Source organism: Homo sapiens, chromosome 21 (genome assembly GCF_000001405.40).
Source record: "Homo sapiens chromosome 21, GRCh38.p14 Primary Assembly".
Taxonomy (NCBI): Eukaryota; Metazoa; Chordata; class Mammalia; order Primates; family Hominidae; genus Homo; species Homo sapiens.
In genome coordinates, this window is record NC_000021.9 from 33,841,492 (window position 1) to 33,859,088 (window position 17,597).

The following is a 17,597-nucleotide window of genomic DNA, read 5'->3' on the forward strand; positions in this document are numbered from 1 at the left end:
ACCATGCTGTCTCTCCAGTTTCCTTTTCCTTTAGATGTGAGCTTCCCAAAAACAACAGTGGCCTTGGAAGGGGCTGCTCCTGGAGTCTCTTGCTCATTTGGTCTAAGAAGGAGGCTGAGGACCAGGGACCGTTGTCTGAGCCAAGTCTCCACTCCAGCACAGGGCGGGGGCAACACCCCACCCAGGTAACAGTTGGGCAACGGGCACAGCAAATCGCAGTCCTGCTTCATTAATCCTATTCATTCTCTTTAGTTCCAAAAATACCCAAGAGAATTTTTATGGAAATGACATTGGATGCCAATGGTCCCAAAAATGCAAGGAAAAATAGCTCCTTCTTTGAAATGTCTGGTATTCGGGGTCTGGTAGGATAGGGAGACGTAGTGAAGTCCAAGATCACAGTAGCCTTAATGTGAATGTTCCGCTTCAGCCAGAGTTCTCTTGGGCACTTTTTTTTTTTTTTTTTTGAGACGGTTCACCCAGGTTGGAGTACAGTGGTGCAATCTCGGCTCACTGCAAGCTCTGCCTCAGCCTCCCCAGTAGCTGGGACTACAGGTGCCCGCCACCATGCCTCGCTAATTTTTTTGTACTAGAGATGGGGTTTCACTGTGTTAGCCAGGATGGTCTCGATCTCCTGACCTTGTGATCCGCCTGCCTCGGCCTCCCAAAGTGCTGGGATTACAGGCGTGAGCCACCGCGCCCGGCCACTCTTGGGCACTTCTTTACGAAAACCCCACATAGGAAAAACCAGGCTTCCAGAGTGTCTCCTGACGTCTAGTTAGCTATTCCATTTCAGAGGGCTCCATAGCCTCTCAGGAAGAATCTATTCTTTAAATTAAAAGCTCCCCAGGCATTTTTAAGTTGTATGACCTGATTCTCAAAAATGTTTCATTTATAAAAAATGAGCATCAGCTATAAGATATATATAGTGTCCGTGCAACTTAATGTTGGGCATACCACCTCTTAGAAGCTACCAGCTACCATGCTGTTGTTTTATGATGTCAACGGTGTGTGTGTGTGTGTGTGTGTGTGTGTGTGTGTGACAGGCAGTGAGCAGCAACTTTCAGGTGACTTAACTGCCTACATCTGTAGCTTGGTGACAGTAGGTCAAACGGTGAGTTCAGGGTACAGCCAGAAGGCAGATAAATACCGCTGTATAGAAGATTCTGGCAGAGGCTGACAGCTGCTATTTCCACATCTGCTTGGCACGTCGCTTCTGAGTGATGTTGCAAGCCTCAAAAGAGATGTTCCTTATTTTGACTCAGACTATCATGTCTTTAAAAGCTGAACAGTTCCTTCTCTTGATGCCGTTTCTCTGAACTCTGACCCAGGAGAGGGGAGAACACTTTTGATCTGCCAGTTTTCATCAAGGACGCTGTTTCCCTCAGTGAGAGGATGAAACCCCTGACGCCCCTGCTTTCCCCTCCCATTTCCTATGCTGTCCTGTCCCCTTCTGATACCTGTCCCCACACACTCATGCACGCTGATCCACTGCGTTGCTTCCCAGGCCCCACCCAGAAAGTGAGGAAAGGCCTGGGCTGCGGTGGAGCGCAGGATGTTCTCTGCGGATTATTCAGTGAAGTCGAGATCTTAGAGAACATTGAGCATAAGGCCTGCACCTATACAGCTGAGGGCACTGAGGGTCTCGGGAAACACAGTGATGTTCTCAAGTCAGCTTTTCAAATTCCGACAAGTCCTCGTTCTAGGCGTACCATTTGATGCACAGATCTATGGACATGTGTGTCCATAATAGCCCCAGAGCTCCTGCCTCCACAGAACTGGTGGCTGCATCTTTGGAAAGATCGGGAAGGGGCCCCTCTTGCCTCATGTGATTTCCTCACTGGTGGGGTTACCATGGGAGTTTGGAGCCATTGGTAAGGATTCCAACACATTTTCAACGCACAAGCTTCATGCTGACCCGCCCCAGCCCTTTGTCCTTCTCTCCTCCACTGGGCGAGTTTGCCAGGCGCTCAGGCTTACTTAAGACACCCTCAGTCTGAGCCAAATGTAAGAACATGTGCTGCTGTAGCTTCCCAATTTTCATTCCTGGCCTCCAGAAAAACATGGTGCTGTATATAACAACACGGCTTCTCTGCAAGTTCAGCCTAATATTTTACTCCATTTCTCTCATCATTTTGGAACATTCTATTTCCCTGTAGACCACCTGCCTATAGGAAGATAGTGATTCAGACGGAGCATCCACATAACTGCATCTGGGGACCTTATAGAGGCTAAGGAGCAATCCAGGATGGTGGCTCAGAGCACGGGTTCAAATCCCAGCTCTGCTACTTACTAGTGGTGTGATCTTGGGCAAGTTATGTAACCTCTTTGTGCTTCAGTTTCCTCATTTACATATGGAGAGATAATGATGACATCTAGCAGAAAATAAGCAGAGAATAATAGCTTTGTTGCTGTTGTTTTTATTGGAGAGAAAAGGCATTTGTGCCTGGTCAGTGAGCATCATGGAATCCAATCAAGTGCCTTCTTTCATTAAACCAAAACAGCAGGTAGGTTGTGTGCATTTTTAAGACCTTTTAGAAAGTATGCTTTTATAGATTAGGAATTTCAGAGAGAAAAGATTGGACAGCTTCCCTAAAAACTTTGAGCTATCTCATTGCAAGATTTGCCCTACCAATCCGTGCACGAACCCTGGCCCCCTTCCTGATAGCAGGAGGCCCACCGGTGGAAGCAAGCAGCTTTTTAAACGCCTTCGCTGCACTCCTGCAATGTGCAGAGACCTCTGGACCAAAGACCAGAGCCTACTCAGCAGACTCTTGGTTGATGTGGACAAGCTGCCTGTGTTTCACACGGTCGACGGTGGGGAGGCCACCAGGGAAAATGGAATGTGCAGGGCTTTTAAATGTCACGTCTGGACTGTGTTGGCAGGCCCATGCAGCGCTCCACAATAAACCTGTCACAAATGCATTGAGTCACTGGGTCCTTTATTTCTCATCACGGCATTCTGTGGCCTTGTGTTCTCTTGCCAGCAAAGAATGGAACGTTCAGCCCCCTAGACATGCCGGCTGCTGGATTTTTTAAGCAATCATCCAGCTTAGATAAGGGGCGTGGGCTGCTGGGGAATGCTGCCCCAAAGCGCTGTCTCCAGAGCAGCTGCCCCAGGCATGCTTAATTCCCTCCCTGCCCACTGTGTGCACCCCCAAGATGCCTCTCAATATCCAGACCTGCAGTTCCACTCTGTTTGTTAGGCCCCCCAGGAGAGCGAGCCTGCAGTCCGCCCCAGCAGAGGGGACCAGGCCAGGGATGCCTCTTTCCTCTCTGGAGTGTTACCTTGGAGTCCTGAGGCCCCGTGACAAGACCCCACACGGCCGAATCCTCAGTAACAGCCCTCCACTGACTTGGTATCCAGTGGGATTCCTCCCTCCATCCCATTCTCTAGGGGGCAGAAGCACATCTGCCCGTCCTGTCCGCCTCCCCTTCCATCCTGCATCCTGTCTTCTCCTCTCCCCGCCTCCTGCTGTGTGGCCCATGAGCCCAGGAGGGACCCAGTCTACTCTGTTTACCTCTCCCGCTGCCCACTGAGAGTCATGGCTGAGGTACATGGAACCGGCCTGGTCATAGGGCCGTGCTCAGCAGAACACAAGCAGAGGAGATGCCTAGAACTTTCAGGAGCAGGTGACAAGCAGCAGAGAAATGAGTGGGGGTTCCAGCTAGTGAAGGATGGGGTGGCACAGAGCATGACTGGGGGCCAGGGATCCAGCCGAGAGGATGGCCCGAGAAAGCTCTCTGAAGAGGGGGGATGGAGACCTGGCTGCGGGGGAGGCACGTCCAAAGATCAAGGGGGAGGAGCTTTCTCGGCCCAAGGGACAGCAAGTGCAAAGGCCAGGGCTGAAGGAGCTGCTCCTGCCCCTCACAGAAGGATGACTGAGTCTTCGACCTGGTCTCTCTGCACCCACTCTCTCCTTCCAGCTTCCCCCACGCTGCAGGCAGAGAGCTATTCTAAAAACATCACTTCTTATGCTTAAAATCATCCAGGGGATTCCCGGTCCTCCGAGATAAAAGACCCGAATCTACTTGGTCTGCAAACCCTGCCTGATCTGCCCCCTTCTCCAGCCCTCTAACCTTCCCTCTCCTCATTTATTCCTATTTGTGCTGAATTTTAGCACGGCTCAGTCGTCACCTCCTCGAGGAAGCCTTCCCTAACCCATGCATTCTTCTGTGCTTGCAGAGGGGAAACTGGGCTGACTGGTTACGGAGCTGCTCTACAGGAGCCTGCTCAGTGTTCTTTCTTCTGCCACCTTTGAGTCCCCGTCATGACCCGTCACGAAAGTCCAGGCTTTTGTTGCCCCCATGGCTTTCCAAATGGCCCTGTTGAAAACATCCCCTTTGACCCTCCAAACCACTTTATGGAAAGGTCCATTTTCATCATGGGAGTCCCTCCTCAGAGAGAGTCAGAACCCACATCTGGTGCCCACTGTGGCATCGTGGGCCCACGTCAGCAGGAAGGGATGGGGGTGCAGGCAGGCAGTGTGGGCAAGGAGCCTCCCCCAGCCTTAGAGACTGAATGACTCAACCCCCCTTGTCTACCTCCCAGGGATCTTGTGTGCCCACATGTCCAATAGGGAGGTGGTGCTTGGGTCCAGGGACTTCCTTCATCATCTAGCCTCACTCTGCTGTCCAGTCTCACCCAACCCAGAACCTTCCCTCCATCATGTCAGCCTCCACCACCACCCCAGAATTCTTGAGTCTCATTTAAGCCACTGGTAGGCCCCAGCTGCAAATGCCTTTGCCCCACCTCCCCTGCCTTTCCTGCCCACCTGCCTTCACCTCTCCCGATTTCGCTGCCACCTCTCCTGCTCCATTAACTTGTAACAACTCAGCTCTTTTCTGAATTCCTTATCACACAGAAAGATGACTAGATAGAAAGGCTGATACAGAAATACATAGATACTCTTACCTCCCCAGTTAGACTGTGAGCTCCTTGGAGGCAGGGCCCAAATCTTGTGGTTTGTTACATCCCCATTAAGACCTCCATGGTAACAACACTAATGAACAGCGATGGTACCTTGCCTTGTGTAGTTGTCTTATTGCAGGGCACCCTGCCTCCCTGCTGATTACAAACCAGAGGGCAGGGCCTACCTCCCACACGTGCATATCCCCATGGCGCCTCACTCTTGCCAGTTGCTCAGGAAGTGCTGTGGCAGACAGTCCTGGGCTGCCCTTCTACCTGCCTGTTGTTCCACAGGCTTGGTCCTTCCTCCCCAGCTAGGCTGTGAGGGGCAGGACACGTCACAGTGTTCATTCTCCCTGCTGCGTGTAGCCTGGAACCCAGCACAAAACCTGTGCTTGAGTTTCCCTCCCCAGGAGGAAAGGAAATTGTAAACGAGGCACCATCGTTTACAAAATAAGTTCTCATGAAAAGACCCCAAAACAGGAAGTGAGCTTATGAAGCATAAGGATTGTTCTTCATCGTTCTTATAACCACCTTCAGTACTGTCTATTTATGTATGTATTTGGTTTTCTGTCTCCCCTACCAAAATGGAAGCCCCACAAAAGTAGGGGCCCCTGCGGATCTATGCAGCCGCTGTGAATGAGCAGGAAATGTCATGGCTCAGGTTGCCTCTTGGGTTCCTATGGGATCAGTTTGTTAAGTTAGGAGAGACCGACCCCAGGGAGCAGGCTATGGGTGCTTAGACCCTTCTGAAGAAAGTTCCATTGAGATGAGAAGTCCACCTGCCCCTCTGGACAGCTCAGAGCTGGTCTGGCCTCCAGAGCTTCCTGTGGGCTGGGGCTGTCCAGGAACCGGTCAGCCAAGGGTCATTTTCAGAGAAGGCCTGGCTGCCTTGGCCTAGACTGGCCACTGCCATCCCCCACCAGTCCCCACCAGCCCTGCGCTCCAAGGACAAGCACAACCTCTCAGCCTGATCTTGCAGGCATCTGCTGAGAGAGAAAAGCTTAAGGACCACCCTCAGGCCTGCCCTTTGAAAAGCCGGTGGTTTCCTCCTGATTCCATTTCCTGACATATCACCAGCATAGGTTTTATTCTTGATAGGGAAGGTCACCGTACATCGCTGGGATCTGCTGTTCCATTCATAAGATGAGGGCGTTGAGCAGAGAGAGTAGCCTTTGAAGCCATAGCCCATGGCTGGGGGTCAGTGGTGGCAGCGTGGCCTGAGGTGCAGCTTCAGAGGGCCCGAAGAGTGGAGTGTCAGATGGTCTCTGGGCTCAGAGAGATGGCGTTCTGTGGTTACAGCCATTGAGCCTCTTGGACAATGGCTTGAGTGACCTGCCATGGGCTGGATTCAGCTCAGCAGTTGTGGCAGCTCTCATGATCCCTGGGCCTGGACGGATCAGTTTCCAAATCCCACCCGCTTTTCGCGCCAGGTGTCTTGATTTCCAGGCCATCTTTCCTCTGATCTCCTGGCTGTACATGGGAACCACACGGGAGCTTTGCCGATAACAGATGCCTGGACCCCACTCCAGCCAGTCCGGTTTAGTTGGTCTGGGGTACAGCAGGGGCACTGGGATTTTTAAAAACTCCTTGCGTGACCCCAGTGTGTGGCCAAACTCCAGGGCCACAGCCCCGTCCATGCCACACACAGCTGCCGCACTGATCCCCTGAAACACAGCCAAGACCTTCCCAGCTCCGCAGCCAGCGCCTCCTCGACTGGACTTCCCCACCTGTTAGGGCTGAACTGTGTCCCTCAGATTCACACGTTGAAGCCCAGGACATCAGAATATGACTTCGTTTGGAGATAAATTCTTTAAAGAGGTGATGAAGTGAACACGAGGCTGTTAGGGTGAGCCCTAATTCCATCTGATGGGTGCTCTTAATAAGAGGGGGAAATGTGGACACACAGACGCTGGAGATGTGCATGCACAGAGGAAAGACCCTGCCGAGGAGAGAGGCCTCAGGAGGAACCAGCCCTGTTGTCACCTTGATCTTGGACTTTGTATCTTTAGAACCATGAGGAAGTATATGTTGTTTAAGCGGCTGGGTCTGTGGCCTTTGTTATGGTCGCCTGAGCAGATTAGCGCACCAGCGAGGAGGAAGAGGCCTCCGGGGAAGAGCATGAGCTCTAGGGTCAGACTCCCTCTGCCATTTATCAACTGACTTACCCGCCCTGTGCCTCAGTTTCCCTGTCTGTTCAGTGGGGGATAACAACAGTATAGCTACCGCATAGGATTCCTGGTGAGGATTCAATGAGTTTGCACATGTGCAGCACCCGGCATTGTGAGCTCTGAGTGGCGTTCCACCTGAACGCCCATGACTCACCATCACGCAGAGACTGCTTCCCTCCTCTGCACCTGCCCCCAGGGCTCCACGCCCCCGACTCCAATTTCTATTTACTCCCATTCTTCCTCCCTCCATTTGAATCCCTCACCGCTGCCTGCCCCCTCACCACCGATATTAGCCTGCTGAAGTCCAACTCAAATTCCTCCTCCCCTGCTAAATATTTTCAAATCCTTCTCATCAAAACAACAGGCCCCCTTGAATTAGACCTAGTATTTGGCCGAGTGTGGTGGCTCACGCCTGTAATCCCAGCACTTTGGGAGGCCGAGGCGGGCGGATCACCTGAAGTCAGGAGTTTGAGACCAGCCCGGCCAACATGGTGAAACCCCGTCTCTACTAAAAATACAAAAATTAGCTGGGCGTGGTGGCATGTGCTTGTCCCAGCTACTTGGGAGGCTGAGGCAGGAGAATCACTTGAACTCAGGAGGCGGAGGTTGCAGTGAGCTGAGATTGCGCCACTGCACTCCAGCCTGGGTAACAGAGCAAGACTCTGTCTAAATAACAAAAACAAGAACAACAACAACAAGAAAAACCCTAGTATTTGGCTGGGCACAGTGGCTCATGCCTGTAATCCCAACACTTTGGGAGGCCAAGGCAGACGGATCACTTGAGGCCAGGAGTTGAAGACCAGCCTGGCCAACATGGTGAAACCCTGTCTCTATTAAAAATAGAAATATTAGCTGGGCGTGGTGGCGCATGCCTGTAATCCCAGCTACTCGGGAGGCTGAGGCACGAGAATTGCTTGATCCTGGGAGGTGGAAACTGCAGTGAGCCAAGATTGCACCATTGCACTCTAGCCTGGGCAACAGAGCAAGACTCTGTCTCAAAAAAAAAAAAAAAAAAAGACCTAGTATTTGATACCACAACAGAGCAACTACAATAGTAATTTAATTGTACATTTAAAAATAACTAAAACAGTGTAATTGGATTGTTTGTAACACAAAGGATAAATGCTTGAGGGGACGGATACCCCATTCTTATGATGTGATTATTACACATTGCATCCCTGTACCAAAATAGCTCAGGTGCGCCATAAATATATACACCTACAATGTACCCACAAAACTTAAAAATAAAACAAAAACCAACAGGCTCCTCCTTCATATTCCAATAAAAATGCATTTGTACTTTCATTATAACATGCCAGTCTGCCTTTGTACCCAAAAAACTTATTAACAGGAGCTACTCATACTACAGGAGAGGGCACAGTGAGAGCAGGAAGTCAGGGGTGGGACATAGAAGGGGCCTGGAATGAGCTGAAGCATACCTACCACAGAGGATGTAAAGCTGTGCCAGGAATTCCAGTGCCCATTATGAAGCTATGAATGATACACCCTTTCACTCTCTGAAATGTGCATATTTATGGAAAATTAAGAGATGATTTATCCCTGAGAAGAATTTGATCTTCACCACTTCTCAGCAGTAATTAAACTGCCTGGCAACCCCTGTGGACTGGATTCCCCTCCTTGGGAGAAAACAAAGCTTATTTGGAGTTACATTGGCACTTTTAAGCATCTGGGTTACATCTGAATGGAAGCCTCCCGAGGACCCAGCTACATGGGGCAAGATGTGTCACCAGGACAGGCTGGGTGGGATACCTGAGCTCTGCTGGACCCACGAGGGTCTCTGGTGCCTTTGGGGGCATTCCTTCCCCTCTCACCTCTGTGCCCACCGGCTTCTCCAGACCCCATTAAAAATCGCATCTTGAGGATTTGCAACTCCGAGGTCTCAAGGACTGATAACCGCTTGGAGTGATGCCCTGTGCAAAGTGCCTGCAACTCAGCAAGGATCCAAGTTGGCCTGGGACTCCCAGGTCTAGCAACCAGCAGGCTCCCAAAGGACAAGGACCCGGACTGCCTCCTTCTCACTGAACCCCGGGGCCGAGCGTGGATGCTGCTTCACAGCAGGAGTACACAACTTCATGGCTTGGAGAACGCTGGGGTTTCAGACATCAGCTGCAGGGTAAAGGGACATAGTGTTTGGCCAGAGAACTTTCTTCACGTCATATCCATGTGGCTTCATCTGCTTTTCCTACACGACAGGCCACCCCACACCTACCAGGAGAGGCCCAGGGTGTTGAAGGGAGTGCAGTTAGATTAATTTGCCCAGGAGAAGCCAGTGCAGCTCTGGGGTGCATGGGCTCACCTGGCAGGAGAGACTTGGTCCATGGGGAGAAGCCTGCAGTATAGATGGGACCTCCAGGAGCCCAAGTAGCATAGACCCTGCTGATCCGGGGCCATTGAGCCAGAGGATTTGGGCTGAATGTCCCCAGAGACAAAAGGGAAAGGTAGATCCTTTCCCTTAAAGATGAAAGCCATCGCCCGGGCTTGCTTATTGCTCTCTCTCCTGGTCCTTCCACATGTTGTTTCTGAACATTTGTTCTGGCATCACAATCCCCGTCACCCTGTCATCTGGCCCTTCCCACCTTTCCACCTTATCTCTTGCAGTGTCTCCGCGTCGACCTGGCACCTGGGTGAAGGCTTGCTCTTGCTGGTGCCCATAGCCCCCAGTGTATGGTCTTGACCTCCCCAGCCATATGGAGACCCAGCCTCAGGAGGGCCCCTCGAGGAAGCCTCCCCTTAGCACGAGGAGTTGCTCCCTTCTGAGGTCCTACTGTCTCCACCATCAGCACAGCACACGGGCTCTTTTTTCTTTTCTTTTTTTTCTTTTTTTTTTGAGACAGAGTCTCGCTCTGTCACCCAGGCTGGAGTGCAGTGGTGCGACCTCAGCTCACTGCAACCTCCACCTCCTGGGTTCAAGCGATTCTCCTGCCTCAGCCTCCCGAGTAGCTGGGATTACAGGTGCCTGTCACCATGCCCAGCTAATTTTTGTATTTTTAGTAGAGATGAGGTTTCACCATGTTGGCCAGGCTGGTCTTGAACTCCTGACCTCAAGTGATCCACCTGCCTCAGCCTCCCAAAGTGCTGGGATTACAGGTGTGAGCCACTGCACCCGGCCTGGGCTCTTTTTTTAATGCTTGCTATTTTAATTTCTTTTTTTTTTTTCTCGTTTTTTTTCTTTTCTTTTCTTTTCTTTCCTTTTTTTTTTTTTTTTTTTTCCTGAGACAGGTGCTCGCTCTGTTGCCCAGGCTGGAGTGCAGTGGTGCGATCATAGCTCACTGCAGCCTCTATTTCCTGGGCTCAGGTAATCCTCCTGCCTCAGCCTCCCAAGTAGCTGGGATTACAGGCATGTACCACCATGCATGGATAATTTTTTAAATTTTTTGTAGATATGGGTGTCTCTCACTATGTTGCCCAGGCTGGTCATGAACTCCTGGGCTCAGGCAATCCACCCACCTCTGCCTTCCAAAGTACTGGGATTACAGACATAAGCCACCAAGCCCAGCTGCTTGCTATTAATATTTTTAATTTAATTTTCCTGTTGTGTCTCTCCCAAGATTGTGAGTTTCCCTGAGGACAAGGACAGTATCTTGCTTATTTCTGCGTCTCTTGGACTTCAGAGGAACTTAATAAATATTTATGGACCACCTTATTGCATATTTTGGCCCCTTTCATACAGGAACAAGGTCTGTTTATTTGCTTTGCTCAATGGGCAACTTGCTGTGGGGGCTGGCTTCGTTTTCAAAATTCTGCTTCTCATTGGGAAAGGTAGAATAATTGGAGGTGTGGAGATGGGTGAGGTGCACTTTTTACCCTGAATGCTCTGTAGCCCTTGAAATTTTAATAATCAGCATGTGTTTATGTATTACTTTTGTAATAAAACAAGTTCTTGAAATGATGCTGTTCATACAAATATCAGTTGAGGGAAGCAAGATGACCTTTTATTGGTAAGGTTTTTTTTTCCCCGTGATTTTCTCCAGGGCCTAGACTCAAAAAATCCTTCCAGAAGGCCATCACATCTCTCTCCATTTCGTAAATGTGTCTAACTAGGCAACATCTAAGGGACGGCACACAGATTAGGAATTTTATGTGGGCTATAATAGGGGATCATTTGTAACCGCCTGGAGTCATTTGCAATATTATTTCAGCTGTGTGTGGATTTCAGTTAGTTTTGAGAATCCTTCTGTCACACCAAGATGTTCATGGAAAACCATTTGATGTGTTTTCTCCTCTCGTTTTTCCCTGGGAAAGGGGGCCAGAAACCATGTTTATCCTAGGACCCAAAAGAGGAAAAGGCCACGTCCCTCCACCCCTAAAGAAAACGCTTTTATTTGAAATGTCTTTTCCATTTACCCTACTTTGAATAATGGAGTTTTTAAACTCACTTGTTTTTCTAAATATTAAATTTTCAAAGGAAGAATATTTTTGAGTTCAAAATGCCTATTTCAAATCTTTAATGGTTCTCTTGGTCTGGCATTCACCAGCAAGTTTTAAAGCAGCCTCCCATGGGTCAATTTGATGGCTAAAAAGATGATTCCAAGCCAACATCATTGGCACATAATGTAAAGAAGACTCTCCCCACAAAACTTTTGCTTTTCATTGTGTTCTGCAGTGGCCATCAGGGCCATCCCCCTGTCTCCAGGCAGGGTGGTAGGTGGACCTGCGAGAGGTGGAATTTGGTGGGGGCAAGCAGCCCAGACTTGCCCAGCGCTTCCCCTGACCTCCAAGCTCCATCAGCTCTGACTTGGGCCTTGCAAAGTGTTTGGACCAGAGGCCAACGCTACCTGGAGCAGGAGGCCACGCAGCAGCCCTCCAGCTTGTCCCCAACTGGCCCCAGGCTCCTGGGATTCTTGGACAAATGGCCCAAATTTACCCTGAACCTTCTGCTGTTGCTCTGGCTCTGAGCTTCTTCACAACCTGCACCGTGTAAAACTTGAAGACTCAGAAGAGCTTCTGAAATCCAAAGCAAGCCAGGACTTTTCCCCATAGGTCCTTCTTTCCGATTCCTCATCATTCTACGCGTGTCTGCTGGTCCCTCGCACCTCCATGCTGCAGACTGGAACTCTGGTCGGGTTGTCAGTTTCAAGTAACACTAGTGTTTCTCAACAGGGTGCTCGTCTATTGGCATTTGGGGTGGGCAGTTCTGTGTCCTGCATGTTGTGGGTCATTTAGCAGCCCTGGCCAGCCTGCCAGATTCCACTATGACAACCAAGAACACACTCTCAGCCCTGGGACTGGAGTGGGATGCAGGGCAAACCTCAGCCTTTGGGGAGTGGGGACAGTACTGACCTCAACATGGTGGGGAAGAGCACCACCTTCAGCGGAGGGTGGGGCAGTAGCACCGCCTGCTGAGGACCACCAGTCCCCCAGGTTCTTAGCTATGCCCTGGAGGGCAGGAGTCTCTCCTCTTCTGTCCTGAATCCCCAGCACCCAGAGTGGTTAGTCCTAGCCTCATAGTAGGACATCAGTAAATATTTGCCCAGTGAATGAATAAGATCTATGAACAGTCTTCAAAAGGGCCTGTGAACCCAATGAAAGTGTGCCCTAAAGGTGTGCATTGTACACATGTATTCGCTGCAGCAAGAACCCATAACTTCCCTCAGATTCTTCAAGGCAACTGTGGGGCATCCTTAAAGGGACATTCAGAAAACTGGTCCAGCCAGTGGCCACTACGGGCCTGATGTTTCTGTAGCTGCAAACATCACCGCACCGTGTTTGTGCAGTGACTTTTAGAGCTACCACTCTGTGTCAATATTCTAATCTCCCTGCAGAAGGGACCATCCTGAACGCTCCAGGGACTCTGCTTCCGTGAGAGGGCATCCAAGTTGCCTAATGCAGGGGCTGCATTCAGCCCTTCAACAAGAAATGGCCTGAGGCCCGGGCCCTTTCACTCACTCACAGGAGAGTGGGGTAAAAAGAGGGCAGGAACAAGATATGTTTCCCCCCAAACTCGAGTGTTTCTTGGGTGACCTTCCCAATAAAAGTCAAAGAACTCGGAGACATCACTCAGCTTGCCACAAACCCAAGCTCACACAGCAGCTTGGCTGAACTGAATGAGTGAGCCCCGTGGCCTGCCTCCTTCCTGAGAGTTCATTGTTGGTGCAGCTGTTTTAATAAAAGACAATCTATGCCCTGAGGCAGGAAGAACAGTTGGGCCAAACCCGTGGCTGAGCAGAGGGCTCAAGCTCAGACACATCTGCAGACCTGTGCAAAAGTGCGAGCTCACCTTGCAGCCCTGGAGAATTCTGCTTGACCTCAGGGCAGGGGACTCTGAGTGAGGTCGAGGGTGTTGATATAATGATGACTCATTTCTGCTGCTTTCCCAGCATTCTCCTGCTGGTCTTGGGTTGTTCCTGTCCCAGCAAGAGAAGCTACAGCATCCAGAAAGGACAATTGGCCCAGAGAACGGACAAAACCAAGGGCTGGAAGCACCACAACCCGAGAGTTAACCTCTAAAGCAGCAAAGCATTTGCCAAGAAATCTCTGATATCATTTGGCCCAGAGGGATCATACAATTTGCAGAAGCTTTCAGCATATAGGCTAGATCAGTCATGACCCCAGATAACTCCCTTGAGAGAAGATGGAAACTCGAGGAACCCCTGCTAGGCCAGAGCAGGCTTCTTGAACATTAGTGCGCCAAAAAACAATCCTCTGGAGAGCTTGTTACATCACAGATACCCAGCCCCCAACTCCAGAGTCACTTCAGCCGGGGCATCTCTAGCAAGCTCCTAGGTGACGCTGATGCTGCCAGCCTGGGGACCACGCTTTGACAACCACTGGTCCCCAGCAGGGGGTTTTGCACTGTGCTCCATTGTGCCCCCTTGAGGGGAACAGAAGGGATGGGAAGAACAAGTAAAGGGGATTCAGCCCGGACTCTCCCACCTACATTCGGGACACCTCTGGGTCTGTCTTCCAAGTCTGGCTTCTGTGATTAAATAAAGAACCTCTGATAAAAAAGAGAGGTGGGTCCAGGCCTGCACATGGGATGCTCCCAAGAACCAAGCCTCCCTCCTGCTCATTCCAGTGTGTCTGGGGCAGGAGGCTCAAATGTTCAAACAAAACCCCAAATAACAAGCTAAGTGGGCAGAGTCATGAGTGAGCCCCACTTCCAGTGCAGGCACCATCTCAGGGCAGTGGAGTGGCCCTTCCCGTCGGGCAGCCTTGGCCTCCATGATGGTCTTGTGCCAGGCTCTCTGCAGTGGGAAGGACTACCCTCTCTGTGGCAAGCATGCTGCTCAGCTGCCCCAGGGGCCAGGCAGCAGCTTTGTCCAGGAGAGTGTGCCCAGTGCTGTCTGGAGGCACCCTGCATCTGCCTGGTCCCCAGGACCATCAGAGCCTCAGCACAGCCACCTCATCCTCCACAAACCAACCTCGACATGGATAACCCATGGCCTCCTGGAGCTCGGGGATAGAGCACAGCCTCTGCAGCCCAAGTCTCAGGGTTTGGCTCTTGCCTTCACCACTTCCAAGCTGAGAGACCTGGGGCCAGTCAACCTGTGTAAACCTCGGTGTCCTCGTCTGTGAAATGGGGATAATTCTAGTATAATACTTGAGCATTAAATGCAGTTCACCACCTGACATGGTGTGAGCCCTCCAGAGTTTTGGCCAATCGTCATTGAGTGTTTTGTTTTCACATTATTTTCGTGTTTCTGATGAAGCAGGAGTGTGCCGCCTGTATCAGTTTCTAGGGTGCCCTAACAAACGACCACAAACGGGGGGACTTAAAACAATAAGAATTTATTGCCATACATTCCTGGAGGCCGGAAGTCTAAAATGGAAGATGCTGGCAGGTGCCAGCCTCACTCTGAGGGCTCGGGGTGTGTCTTGGTTTGGAAACACATCACTCCAGGTTCTGCCTGTCTGTCTCTGTCTTCTTCTCATAAGGACACTGATCATATAGGGTCAGGACCCAACCCTGAGTATGACTTTATCTTAATTTGATTATATATGAAAAGACTATTTCCAAATAAGGTAACGTTCACAGGTACCAGGGGGTAGGGCTTCCACATATTACTGGGGAGGACACATTTCAGCCCATGACCCCACTGGACTGGAGCAAGCCCTCAGGACCCAGCAGCCACGAGGATCTTCCGTGTGAAGTTGTGTGGGCTTCCCCAGACTGTGCTAAGTTCTCCCAAATGGTTGTGTTTTCCAGGGTGTTCAGACTTACATCTCTTGGATATGTTGACCCCAACTGAAAGAAAGCGACAAGGATACATCCACGAGCTCATTGTCACCGAGGAGAACTATGTGAATGACCTGCAGCTGGTCACAGAGGTAAGGGAGCTGGTGGGGCAGGGGGCACGGCAGGGGGCGATGACGGAGGGAGAGGGGAGGGTTCCGTCAAGGAGGTCTATGTCCTGATTCTGAGCCCAAGAAACTTTCTGATGTTTGAGGAGCATCTGGATGGCAAATGCTATAGGAGATTGCGACCGCAGAGACGGTTCGTTGCTTATCCATGGCCAACATTGAGTCATTCCCACAGAGGGACAGAGATCACTTAGCCAAGGGCAAGTGAGTCCCTGAGCAGTTGATGGATGGAGTCATGTGAACTGAGAGTCTGGAGTCCACGCTCTACTCAGAGCAGCTGCAGCTCAGCCACCAACCAGGAGGTGCCATGGAGCCAGCCACGCCGCCCTCCTGGCCCGCAGTGTTGGCATCTGGAAATGGGGGGCCATCTGGCTGCTGTCTCGAGTCATTCCTGCCATATGTTACCCTGAGACAAACCTGTCACTGAGAATGGCAACGTTTCCTCCCAGGCCCCCACAAAAGCCCCTGACCTGAGTGATGCCTCCTCATCTTGTCAGTCCTCCCAGAAGGGCCCTGGCCACCTCATCCAGAACTATGGGGAGATGCGGAGCCCGGCGCTCCTGCTGCTCAGCAGGCCTTTTGTCCACGTCCATGGGAAGATGCCATATTGGGAGACAGGGATTTGCAGAGATGGACCTGCAGTTTGGAGAGTGCTGTGGTAGTCTGGCAACCACCACACCAAACGGGTGTGAAACCATCTTGTCTGATAGTCTTAACATCCAGGAAAGACGCAGCAGGGCTCGCCGCTGTTGGAGGAGTACAGGGTGGGTTGTTAGCTGCAGGACCACCATTAATACTTAGGAAGCATTGATGCAAACTCAAAAAGGTGCCCCTTTCTCAAGGTGTTTGACTGTTATTAAATATGCAGTTCAGGATGTCCAGGGTGCAAGTGTCACTCCTTAGATATGGCTCCTTTTTGCACTCTGCAAAACGCACCACCATATGTGGTTGCCCTGGTACATGCCGGGTTCAACGTCGGCTTAAGGACTCCTGTGGAATAGGACTCCCAGGGAGCAGCCGCAGCCCAGCCAAGTTTATGTCGAAGATGGGCTGTCCCCTTCCCTAAAGAGCCTTCAGAAGCGCCTCCTGTGGGAGAAAATGACCTCCTTGCAGGCGGGGGCTTGCAAGTGGAACACGGGGTTCCACTGAGATCTGTGATTTACTGAGAGTTGCTCAACCACACAGAGCTTGGAGGGGCTCATTCATTTTCCAGAGCCCAGGAGGAGGGCAGCACTCACCCCCTTGTAGCGGGCCTGCAAGTGCTGGGTCTGTCCAGGGTCAGCCCAGGAGGCTGAGGACACAGCGATGGAGTCAGTCACCGAGGTGGCCACTGGCTTATTAGAGGAGCTGCCGCCTGGGCTGCTCCTCTCAGAAGGCCCTCGGTTTACCTATGCAGATGAAGGGACTGTCCACAGCCACCGGCACCTTTAAGCCCCGCTTTTCACACCGGTCCAGCCCCTCCCAGTGCGCAGGTGAGACCGCTTAGCCTGCGTGCATGACTTGGTACCGGCCTCCCTGCTTGTCTGGTGGAGTTAAGACCTGTCTCCTGGAGACTTCAGCTGCCCTCCTTCCCCTGTAAAACAATGCAGGCCCTGCTGGGGACCCCCCTCCGGTTTCCAGGGCAGAGGAGGGGCTCTCTGCTTCAGAAACTGCAGGAAAGCAGGCGTTCACCTCTGGGCCTCTCAGCCAAGGTACAGACACCTGAGCCCTTTCCCTGCTCTCAGCGGATCGGCGTGTGAGTGTGTGAGTTTTAAGCTAACTGCTTTCTGAACTGCTTCGTTTTCTGCATCTGTAGATTTTTCAAAAACCCCTGATGGAGTCTGAGCTGCTGACAGAAAAAGAGGTTGCTATGATTTTTGTGAACTGGAAGGAGCTGATTATGTGTAATATCAAACTACTAAAGTAAGCCTCTCCTCTAATCCCCAGCCTGGCTTGGCCTCCTCGGCTCTCATGCACTCGCACCTCTGTGGGTCTGTGTGTCCTTCTTGCATGCTGCCCTGTGCTTCTTTCTGGCTTTTTTTTTTTCTTCTCATTGCCACTCACAAACACCATCACCCTTTTGTGCCTTCGTGCTTTCTGGAAACGCACTCCGAATCTCTCATTGCAAGAGTAGGTTTCCTGGGCACCCCAGAGCCTGCTGTTGGGTGAATTACTGTGGTTGTGAATTTCCAGGGCTAGGGCGACGCTGGCTCCTGATG

General features: G+C 51.2%; 1 protein-coding gene across 12 annotated transcripts in view, besides 1 other annotated feature; it reads left to right on the top strand.

Annotated features, from left to right (window-relative positions):
- Positions 1–17,597, top strand: part of ITSN1 (intersectin 1) — a 257,361-nt gene that overhangs the window by 198,991 nt on the left and 40,773 nt on the right. For all 12 annotated transcript variants that reach the window (XM_017028428.2, NM_003024.3, XM_017028431.3 and 9 more), the window contains 2 exons: positions 15,245–15,366; positions 17,195–17,301. In XM_017028428.2, the coding sequence (XP_016883917.1) occupies positions 15,245–15,366; positions 17,195–17,301 (229 nt within the window). The remainder of the gene's footprint in view (positions 1–15,244; positions 15,367–17,194; positions 17,302–17,597) is intronic.
- Positions 16,030–16,723: an enhancer, noted in NCBI's record as "H3K27ac-H3K4me1 hESC enhancer chr21:35229825-35230518 (GRCh37/hg19 assembly coordinates)". NCBI's record gives its function as "activates a minimal SCP1, AML or CMV promoter by ChIP-STARR-seq in primed H9 embryonic stem cells {active_cell/tissue: H9 hESC(primed)}" and the evidence as "EXISTENCE:reporter gene assay evidence [ECO:0000049][PMID:30033119]".